The 11,996-nt window shown below is 44.3% G+C and overlaps 1 protein-coding gene across 2 annotated transcripts in view; it reads right to left on the bottom strand.

Annotated features, from left to right (window-relative positions):
- Positions 1-3,582: 3,582 nt before the first annotated feature.
- The window catches only part of HMG20A (high mobility group 20A), a 99,163-nt gene continuing 90,749 nt past the window's right edge, over positions 3,583-11,996 (bottom strand). The window contains exons 10-11 of one of the 2 annotated variants that reach the window (XR_001751049.3): positions 6,277-6,357; positions 3,734-4,509 (exon numbers count right to left, since the gene is read on the bottom strand). The gene's annotated coding sequence lies outside the window, so the exon portion shown is untranslated. Of the gene's footprint in view, positions 6,358-11,996 lie in introns of both variants that reach the window. The other variant, XM_011521158.4, reaches the window with a different exon arrangement.

The following is an 11,996-nucleotide window of genomic DNA, read 5'->3' as shown; positions in this document are numbered from 1 at the left end:
CAGGTACTCAGGAGGCTGAGGCAGGAGAATGGCCTGAACTTGGGAGGCGGAGCCTGCAGTGAGCCAAGATCGCACCACTGCACTCCAGCCTGGGCCACAGAGAGAGACTGTGTCTCAAATAAATGAATAAATACATAAATAGTCTTTAGTTTGGGTTTGTCTGATGTATCCTCATGATTAAATGCAGGTTGTTGATTTTTGCAGGATTATCACAGAAGTGAAGTTGTGTCCTTCTTCGTGCATCATCTCAGGAGGTACATGATGTCTATTTGACCTATTACTAGTTATACTAATTTGGATCACAGGTTAAGGTGTGGTCTAGCACTATAAAGTTACTATTTTTCCATTTCTATTTAATAAATATTTTGTGGGCAGCCTGGGCAACATAGTGAGACCCAGTCATATATATATATATAAAATATATATCTCATATGTACATATATGATAAGTCTCATATATCTATATATATGTCATATATCTACATATATGATATGATGTATATAACTTACATATGATTATATATATCATATATATGTATAGGTATATATTAGCCAGGTGTGGTAGCATGCACCTGTAGTCCCAGCTACTCTGGAGGCTGAGGTGGGAGGATCATTTGGGTCCACCAGAAGTTTGAGGCTGTAATGAGCTGTGATTGTGCCACACTGCATGCCAGCCTGGCCAACAGGAGTGAGACCCTGTCTCTCTCTCTCAAACAAAAAAAAAAAGTACTTTGTGGTGAGTTACCTTTAGACCATATACATATCCAGTTCTTTGTCAGATTTTTCACCCACTAATTTCAGGATCTATTGATGATTCTTGCCTGAATCAATTATTACTATGATGCTGGTCAAATGTAATTTTCTAACCTCAGAATTTCCTCTTTATTAGTTTGAATTTTACTATACAGAAGAGCTTTTTCTTTTCCTCATGTATTTATTTATACTTATTATGTTATCTCTGTATGGACTCAGGGATTCTTATTTTATTCAGTGGGTTGTAATTCATTCTTATCATTATTCATTTTGGTGCTCAAATTGTTCCAGGTTTGGCCAGTGGGAGCTCCTTCAAGCTGGCCCCTGTGTCTTTTTGACATTTCCCCATCATTCTTTGAGCATTTTCTTACTTTCAGGTTCATCACGTACTTGTCCTGGAAATCAGCTATTTCTCCAACGATCCCTTATTTATTTTAGGAGAGAATGATCTGGGAGGTAGAATATCCATGACCATATCTATATTAACATCTCTATATAAAGCCATGTGCTTGTATGGTTACCTCCAATTTCAATTTAATACCTAAGGGTACATTTTTGTCTTCTCCCTTCCAATACCTGTAACTCACTTCTTCAACAGTGAGAAACTTGGACCCCGTGATTGTCATTATATTTACTCATATGCCGAAGCCTAGAAGTTTCAGAATGGCTAAACCATACCGCTGCAAAAAACAAACCTGCTAACTAGAGTCTGACATTTTTGCAGATCTTTTTTATCTTTTGTCTGGGCGTATATAGTAAAATACTGTGTTCAAAATGCCCTTGGGTCAGATTTTCCCCTCCTTTTAGTGTGGTTGTTATTCATTTGAAATGCATTAGGTTTGTTTGTTTCTGATTGTATTACATTTTAGAGACTTCCCCCATCCTTTATTATTGTTGTTGTTTGAACAGGTAAAGCACTGATGTGGTTCTGAAAGCCAACACTATACAAAACATTTATACTCAGAAAAAATAGCTCTCTGCTCATATCCCTTCCACCCCATTCCCACCCTACCTCTGTAGGTAACTGATCTCATTCGTTTATCCTTCCTGTGTTTCTTTTTGCAAAAATAATCTTCTATAATATAATATAATATATTATAAATATATAATATAAATTTATATATTCCCCCTTCCATAATATATAAAAGGGTAATAATTTCTTATTTCCCCTTCTTTCTTACACACAAAGTAGCATTCTAGAGTTATAGTTTTGCACTTTACTATTTTAAACTTAACAATACATCCTGGATTCACTCTCTCTCAGTTAGTAGAGATTGTCCTTAATTTTTGTAAGCTTACATTTTTATTGAAGAATAGCATACATACCGAAATCATAATGTACAAGTCATAAGCGTATGGCTTGATGATTTTTCACTTCGTGAAAAATGTAACCACCACCACATAACTGTAGCACCCTCATGCAACCAGCACCACCGAAATCCTTTCTTGTCCCTACCCACATTAAGGGACGCCGCTATCCTGACTTGTAACACCATTGATGAATGTCTGGTTTGAAAACTGTGTAAATGGGTTCATATAATATTTGCTCTTTGGTGTCTGACTCATTTTGCTCAGCATTATGTTTGTGACATTTATCCATGGCTATGTGTAATTATAGCTTGCTCATTCATATTCTATAATTATATGACTATATATATATTATTTATTTTTTTATTTTTTTGAGACAGAGTCCCACTTTGTCCTCCATGCTGGAGTGCAGCGGCGTGATCTCGACTCACTGCAACCTCTGTCTTCCAGGTTCAAGTGATTCTCCTGCCTCAGCCTCCCGAGTAGCTGGGACTATAGGCGCACACCACCATGCCCAGTTATTTTGTAATTTTAGTAGAGACGAGGTTTCACCACGTTGGCCAGGATGGTCTCGATCTCTTGACCTCGTGATCCACCCGCCTTGGCCTCCCAAAGTTTTGGGATTACAGGCGTGAGCCACCACTCCCGGCCTTATACCACGATATTTTTATCAACTATGTTTTTCTGGCTGGGCTCAGTGGCTCACTCCTGTAATCCCAGCACTTTGGGAGGCCGAGGCGGGCGGATCACGAGGTCAGGAGATCAAGACCATCCTGGACAACATAGTGAAACCCCGTCTCTACTAAAAATACAAAAATTAGCTGGGCTTGGTGGTGCGTGCCTGTAATCCCAGCTACTTGGAAGGCTGAGGCAGGAGAATCACTTGAACCAGGGAGTCGGAGGTTGCAGTGAGCTGAGATCACACCACTGCACTCCAGCCTGGCGACAGAGTGAGACTCCCTCTCAAAAAAACAAAACAAACAAACAAAAACCAAAAAAAAATAAAACCACCAAACCAAACCCTATGTTTTTTATGGGTATTTGGGTATTTCCAGCTTTTTGGCTTTATAGTTAGTGCTATGAAAATTCTAGTATCTGGAATGCTTTTGGTACCTAGAAATGTAATTGCTGGGTTATAGGGTCTGCATATGGTTAGCTTTGGTAGGCGTCTTTAGATGCTTTTGCAAAGTGTTGATATGCCAGTTTGCATTCTTACCAGCCATGTAAAGCACAGTTACAGTTGCTGCACATCCTCACCAACACCAAATTTTTAAAATCTCTCTTACTCATTTTAGCCATCCTGAGGGTATGTGTTGTACTGGGGTTTTATTTATTTATTTATTTATTTATTTATTTATTTATTTTTACTTTTTGAGACGGAATCTCGCTCTGTCACCCAGGATGGAGTGCAGTGGCGCGATCTCGGCTCACTGCAACCTCCAACTCCCAGGTTCATGCCATTCTCCTGCCTCAGCCTCCTGAGTAGCTGGGACTACAGGCGCCCACCACCGCACCCGGCTAATTTTTTGTAGTTTTAGTAGAGACGGGGTTTCACCATGTTAGCCAGGATGATCTCAATCTCCTGACCCTGTGATCCACCCGCCTTGGCCTCCCAAAGTGCTGGGATTACAGGCATGAGCCACCGTGCCTGGCCCCATGTACTGGGGTTTTAATCTGTATTTCCTGGATAAGCAAATAGCACTTCTTCCCAGGATCACTAACAAACTAGTCCCCTTGGCTCTGGCCTTGGAATCAGAAGACCTTACCCTGCCCACTCTGATTGGGTGAGTTATGTGACACTGACCTGTCAGTCCTTTCCTGCCATGACAACAAAATACTTTAGATTGGGTAATTTATAAACAACAGAATTTTTTTGCTTGCAGTTCTGAAAGCTGGGAAGTCCAAGATCAAGGCCCCAGCAGATGTGGTGTCTGGTAAGGGTTTGCCTTCTGCTCCATAGATGGCGTCTCGTTGCTGTGTTCTTATGTGGCAGAAGAGGCCAGGGAGCTCACTTGAGCCTCTTTTATAAGGACATAATCCCATTCATAAGGGCAGAGCCTTCAGGACTCGATTACTTCCAAAAGGCCCCACCTCTTAATACTATCACACTGGGGATCAAGTTCTAACATGTGAATATTGGAGGGACACCAGCATTCAGACCATAGCATGATCTATCTAAGTTTTCTCATCTGTAAGTGGGAACAATAACCCTTGGCCTGCGTTTGCAGTAGGCGCACACTGGCGTTGGAGTTGGTGGAGCTCCAGGACTTTCTTCCGGGCTTGTCTCCCTACTTCAAGGGCACAGGTGTTTTTAGAAGACAGGGTTTGTTGCCCACATGCCAGTCGTCTCCCCTACTTCTACCCTGGATCTTTTTCTTCCTTTGACAGCATCTCAGGGCTTCCTCTTCCAGATCACCTTCATCTTTTTTCTATATCACTGAGGCAGGATCTAGGCCAGAAGGGACAATGGATGGACCCAGGAGGTGGCCATTTGCATTTGGCTTGCTCTATTGCTGCGTGACCCGGGCTGGTTTCTAAAAGGAAATGGGGTATAGACATTGCCTGCAGCATCCCTGGGGCACTTTAGTGCTCTTGTGTGCTGTGCTGAGGAGGAGGTCATCCAAGCAGGTTAGCAGATGGGAAATAGACAAACCATCTTTGTGTACTTAGGATGCCAGATAGTCATGCAAATAGCTGCCACATGCCTATGTGGCAAAGAAAGTACAGCACCCCCAAAGGAACTCTCAAATCCCTTTGGACAGCCTGTGGGAGGAGTGTGCTCCCAGCTTTCCCTCCTTCAGTGCACCTGGACTGTTCTGAGATGGGAATGACTTGAGTGTAGAGAAGCCCAGTCCCTTATTCACTCCAAGAAGACGCTGAGCCGTGGTGTGGTGCAAAGCGAGAGGCAAGGCTCCGCCTGAGTGTCCTCAGGATGGCTCGGTTGTGGACCCTGACTACAGATGCCTAGAGCCCATGCGGAAGCTAAGGCACAAGCATAAACAACTGTGGACCAAGTTCTGGAGGGGCACAGATGGTTTCTAACATGAAGGGCTGGTGAGTAATGTAGGTAAGAGTGAGGGAAGGTGTAGCAGGTCCAGGGACCAGCCTGTGTACAGTTGTGGAGATGGGGACCTGGGGCATGTTCGTGGAGTGAATGAATGAAGGCAGGTGGGCTAGATCACCAAGGCTTGAAAACTTGGCTGAAAGGCTGGGATTTTATCCAGTGCATAATGACCACTGGTGTTTATGAGAGGGGTTGGTGCAGGCGTGGTAGAATCACAGCTGATCACAGATGCTCACCTTTAGAAGGTCCCCAGCTCACAGAGCCTCCCCTATCGGCTCCCCCACCGCCTTCCACTATTTGAACTCTCTTCCTTATTGAACCAAAGACTTTTCCTGCTCCAAGAAATCCTCACAAAGTGAAAACTCTGGGTGCCAGCTCCATCCTTGATGGGATCAGCTGCTCAGCCCAAGACCCTTAGAGAGGTTTGTTTCCAGAGGCAGGGGCCAGGCTAGTGTTGATGAGAGTGAACACAGGGATAGGTGGGGAGGGATTTTTTTTTAACATCTGCTAATGACAGGCATTATATTAAGTATCCGACATTCAATATTTCATTTACTGTTTGTAGCAACCCTATTAGGAAGGCATTCTCCCCATTTTACAGAAGAAGAAAGGGAGGCTTGGGCAGACTAAATTATCCACATAGTAAGTGAGTCTGTTTGCAGAACCTGAGCGTTTTCTGCTGCCCCAGGCACAGTGTATGCGAAGTGTCTCCAGGAAGCTGGGTGGGAGGGGAAGGGTCGTCTGAGCCCAGTGCCCATTTGCCCCATGACATGCAGCTCTGAGGCCTGGGCCTCAAATGCCGTCGCCCACAGAGCTGCTCTGGTGATCTCCCCGACTGGATGTTCCTGGCTAAAGGTACAGAATTGCAGTCTTTTCAAAGTACACCAGGAGATGTCAACAGAAAGAGTGAAATTGTGCTCAAATTAGAGACAATTTTCTGGAATCCTCTGTTTTCCTCTCCCTGACAAGCAGAAGCACGGCATCCATTCAGCAGCATTTATGCTTTTAAATAAAATACTGCCATAGAATCCCTCGAACTGCCATTTGTGAAGCAATATTCTCATCACTATCTCCAGGTCACAGACAGTGGATGCCATGTCATGCAAAGGGTTGACTCGTTCACCATCCATTCAACAAGCATTCAGTAAATACCTGCTATGGGACTTGCTCTGTGCTGGGCACTGGGAACACAGATGTGGATGAAACCCATGTAGACCACGAGATCCTCAGTGGCTACAAAGAAAAACAGACATTGTAGAGGATTAAGACCTCTGCAATGTGATAGAGTTGACAGAGGCTTGGGGCAACCCCTGATGGTCTCCGCAGGGATGGGAGTAGGCTAAGTGATAGGGATGCCCGTGGATCCCCACAGGGATTCAGACAGGCAAGTGGGCCTGGCCAGGGCCTCAAGGAGCCTAGGTCTTCTAGGACCAAGGTGAGCATTGGTGGAGGGGAAGGGAACTCCAGGTGCCAAGACTGGCTCGAGCAGGGGTCTGGACGAGGGACTGACATGTGCGGGACGGTGAGGCCACCATGCTGCGGGGAGGCGATGGGGACAGGTTATCGGCCTATCACAGCAGCCTCCACCCTGCTGGTCCTGCAGCAGTGCCCCTGCCTGGCACCTGGCCTTAGTCCCCTTATTTAGTGTCGCACACCCTTAGCTCAGCTGCCCGTTGTGTCTCACACAACCAGGCTGTGTCTCACTTCTAGCCTACGCGCTTGCTGTCCCCTTTTCCCGGAATGCCCACACCCCACTCCCCTTCTTCCCCTGGGAAGTTCTGTTTAAGTCTCAGCTTAGCCTTCCCCTCTTCGCAAAGCCTCGGGGTGGAGTTCAGTGCCCTTCTCACCACTCAGACATCTCCCCTGGGGACTCTTGAGGGGGATGGTCATGTTGAGCTGGTTGGTTTGTTTGTCTTTTGGGGAGGGTCTGGGTCTTGGAGCCCCAAGTGGGACACACATGGTGGGGTGGTACAGTGGAGGATGTGTGACCTCATCGCATCCTAGAGGAGAAAAATATCTTTGTTTCTTTTTCAAACACAGGGTCTTGCTCTGTTGCCCAAGCTGAAGTGCAGCAACTTGATCATGGCTCATTGCAGCCTTGAACTCCTGGACTCAAGATATCCTCCCACCTCAGTCTCCCGAGTAGCCAGGACTTACAGGTGGGAGTCACTGCACCCGGCTCAAATAACTATCTTAACTGTGAGAAATGGTGAGCTGGCAAAAGTTCACAACCTTGACTATGCATGCCATCGTTGCCAGCGATGACTGTGCTGGCCATTCACCATGGCCAGCCGTGTGCTTCTTGTTTTGCCACGGTGTAAAAGTCATACATTTTTCATCAAGAGAGAAAATGAAATCAGAGCACCATCAATTTCTCTAATCCAATTCCCCTCGAGCAGTATTTATACCTTGCCCAGTGTCTAGGGGATCCTAAGGGAACTTTAGGCTTTCCCCCTCTGTGTGTGAGACCACCTCCTCCTTGATGCCTCCCTGGGTGGCCCAACTCCACATCTGCAACTTGCAGCATCAGCCCACTAGAGACTAAGGGCCCCTGGAGGGTGTCATGGGACCCTTGCAGGCTCCTCTTCTCCCCACACCTTTGAATCGGATCTGGCCTTGCTCACAGATCCACTGCCACTCTTTCCCCCTCACTATCCACTTGCTCCTTCTGTCTCACCCACAACCCTGCCCCCAAGGCCAGCCACATTCCTTCTCAAACCTCTGTCTCAGGTTTCCCAAATGGTGGCCCCATGTTCATGCAGGTATGTTCTGTTTGGCCTACAATGTTTGGAGTGTTTTGAAAATCAGCATGAGTGAATTCACTTCGTGATCACCCTTCAAGCTGTGTGCTTAACATTTATGTTTTTCTGCATGTATCCTTCCATTTAAAAAATATATTTTTTTAATCAGCAGTTTTCAGGCGAGGCATGGTGGCTCATGCCTGTAATCCAAGCACTTTGGGAGGCAGCAGGTAGGAGGATCGCTTGAGCCCAGGACTTCAAGACCAGCCTGTGCAACATGGGGAAACCCTATCTCTACCAAAAATACAAAACTTAGCCAGTCTCACAGCCCAGCCTCAAATAAATAAATAAATAAATATTTAAAAATAAGATAACTTTTTTTAAAAAAAACAGCAGATTTCATATCGAAATCCAGACTTCCACCCTCTCTTGAACACTTGGAAGGCCAGTACTGCTGGGCGTTTATCCTAAATCAGCTTTAGCTGGCGGCTGCCTCCTTCACAAAAGACATACACTCCCCCTTTTCCACAGTCTCCACCACTGTCTATTGTACCCACTGGCCACTCCCCTCATTTGTGTACCCGTCTTGCCCCTAGGGCAGGCATTCAAGCCCATTGTCTTTGGGTTCTCCTGATTTATTTCCTACTGCTTCCATGGGGATCTCAAACTCAACCCAACCATGACCAAGCCACATCCTCCTCCACTGTCCCCAAAACCTCCTCCCCTCCAATATTCCCCATCTCAGGAAATGCTTCACAATCTGCCCAGTCACTCAAGGAAAAAACCTGGACATTTCTAGGACTCCTTGTATATCCCTTGCCCCACCTACGATTTATCATCAACCTGACAATTCTGCAAAGCTGCCTGCTGCTCTGCATCCCCACAGCACATGCAGAGTCAAGCCACCGCCACCCCGAGCTGGGACCACAGCAGCCTCATGACTGGTCTGCCTGCCCCGACTCGGGCCCCTCTAAGCTGCTGCGCCCTCTGTAGCCAGAGAGGCCTTTGTACAATGCAATGTGATTATGTCGCTTCCCTCTTAGACCCCTTCTATAGCTTCCACAGCTTCCCATTTTCCCCCAAAATCCAAATTCCACAAAGGTCTAGTATCAGGGCCTGCCTCCCTCCCTAGCCTCTTCCCACACCTCATCCTTCTCCATGGCATACACACTAACCTTATTTCAGTTCATGCTGTTCCCTTCAACACTTCACTCCACACTTCACTTTTTGAAACAGGAGGTGTAACTTTTATAGAGTAAACCATCCACATCTTACATGTACAGCTTGAATGATTTTTATATATGCAAACATGTGTGTAGCCACTATCCATTTCAGTATCTCCGAGATCTTCTTTATGTGCCTTTCTGGCAGTACCCACCTATCATTAAATCGACTTTGGTATAGCTTAGTTTTGCCTGTTCTTGACCTTCATAGAAATGAAATTATATAGTATATGTTCTTTTGTGCCTGGATTATTTTGCTTAAGATTATGTCTGTGAAATTCACCCACATTGTTGCGTGTATTAATAATTAATTCATGCTGTCTGCTGTGGAATCTTCCATTGTATAGATACACCACTGTTTATGCATTCTACTGGTGATGGGCATTTGAGTAGTGTTGTGGACTAAATTGTGTCCACAGATTTTATGGAATAAAGTCCTAACCCCTAATGTGTCTGTATTTGGAGACAGGACCATTAAGGAAGTAATTAAACTTTGCAATTATGTAGACAGTAGGAAAAAAGGCTGAGTGTGGTGGCTCACGCTTGTAATCCCAGCACTTTGGGAGGCCGAGGTGGGCAGATCACAAGGTCAAGAGATCGAGACCATCCTGACCAATATGGTGAAACGCCGTCTCTACTGAAAATACAAAAATTAGCTGGGCATGGTGGCGCATGCCTGTAGTCCCAGCTACTTGGGAGACTGAGGCAGGAGAATCGCTTGAACCCGGGAGGTGGAGGTTGCCGTGAGTCAAGATTGCACCACTGCACTCCAGCCTGGCGACAGAGCGAGACTCCATCAAAAAAAAAAAAAAGGAGGTAGTGAAGGTTAAATGAGGTCATAAGGGTGGGGCCCTGGTCTAATAGAACTGGTGTCCTTATAAGAAGAGAAAGAGACACCAAGTGGGCCATTTGAGGACACAGTGAGAAAGCAGCTATCTGCAAGCCAGAGAGAGAGGACTCACCAGAAGCCAACCCGGTCGGCACCTTGATCTTGGACTTCCAGCCGCCAGAACTATGAGAAATAAATGTCTGTTGTTTAGGCCACCCAGCCTGTGGCATTCTGTTAAGGTGGCCCAGGCGGACTGATGCAGGTAGTTTCTAATTGAGGGCTATGACACAGCTGCTATAAATACTCTTCTACATGACTTTTGGCAAACATAAGCACTTCTTTCTATTGGCTCTGTCCCCAGGAGTGGGTCATAGGGTAGAGGCATTGATAGAAGGACAGAGAGAAAGAGAAAGAGACAGGAATTATTTTTTTCTGAACCATTTGAGAAGAAGTTTAAGCAGATACACTCTCCCAAACCTCATTGCAGCCAGTGAAGGTAGGATGCTCTCTTACTCCCGTCTAATCTTTAGACTCCATCCCAATTTCATTATTATCCCAATAATGTCCTTTATATCGAAAGGGTCCTATCCATGATTACATGTTGATTTAATTGTCAAATGTCTTTACTCTCCTTCAGTCCTAGACAGTTCCTTCATCTTTACTTTGATGACCTTGACACCTAGAACAGTTACAGGCTGGTCATTTTGTAGAATGGCTCACAATTTAAGTTGCTCTGATGTTAACGTGTTTTGGGCAGGAATGTACAAAAGTAATGCTGTGTTCTTTGCATTGCATCCTGTCAGGTTATTCGTGGTCAGTTTGCCCCATTACTGGAGATACTAACTTTTATTCCTTGGCTAAGATGGTATCTACCAGGCTTCACCAGTGTTAAATTAATGAGTATATTATACTTATTAATTAACTTATAATTAATTAATTAATATTTTATATAGAGTAAGTTTGAAATTAGGTAAATATCCTGTTTCTCATCAAAAATTTACCCAGTAGGTTTAGTATCCATTAATGATTCTTGACTAAATCAAATATTTCTACAGTGCTTGCAAAATGTGATTTCCTAATTCCATTATCCCTTCTACATTTATTAGTTTGCATTCTACTTTAAGTAAGAGTTTCTCTTCTCCCTATTTTTTATTCATATACTTACTTGTGTTAATATTAACTCACAGATCATCATTTTGATGCTCAAATTGTCCCTGATGTGGCCATTGGGAGCCTCTTCAAGTTGGCTGTTGTGTCCTTTTTTTTCTTTAATTTTACATTTTTATTTTTTAAATTGTGGTAAAATACACATAAAATGTACCATCTTAACAGCTTTAGTGTACCATTCAATGGCATTAAGGACATTCTCATTGTTGTGCAACCATCACCACCATTCATCTCCAGGGCTCTTCATCTGACAAACTTGAAATTCTGTACCCATTAAACAATGCCTCCTCCCCCCACCCCCTGGCAACCACCATTCTACTTTCTGTGCCCGTGAATTTGACTGCTCTATGTACTTCAAATAAGTAGAATCATATAGTATTTGTCCTTTTGTGACTGGCTTATTTCACATAACATAATGTCTTCAAGTTTTATCCAAGCTGTAGCATGTGTCAGAATTTCCTTCCTGTTTAAGACTGAGTAATATTCCACAGTATGGTTATACCACAGTTTGTTTATCCATTCATCTGTTGATGGGACACTTGGGCTGCTTCCACATTTTGGCTCTTGTGAATAATGCTGCTATAAACATGAGTGTACAGATATTTCTTCAAGTCCCTGCTTTCAATGCTTTTGGATGTATACCCAGAAGTGGACTTGCTGGATCATATGGTAATTCTACTTTTAATTTTTTGAGGATCTGCCATACGGTTTTCCACAGCAACTGCACTATTTTATATTCCTACCAACCCAGTGCCCAAGGGTTCCAATTTCTCACATCATCACCCATGCTTATTTTCTTTCTTTGATAGTAGCCATCCTAATGGGTGTGAGGCGGCATCTCATTATGGGTTTGCTTTACATTTCTCTAGTGATTAGCAATGGTGATCGTTTTTCATGTTCTTATCAGCCATT

Source organism: Homo sapiens, chromosome 15 (assembly GCF_000001405.40).
Source record: "Homo sapiens chromosome 15, GRCh38.p14 Primary Assembly".
In the NCBI taxonomy this organism is placed as follows: Eukaryota; Metazoa; Chordata; class Mammalia; order Primates; family Hominidae; genus Homo; species Homo sapiens.
The sequence above is the reverse complement of the archived record's forward strand: the minus strand, read 5'-3'. Positions and strand labels throughout refer to the sequence as shown.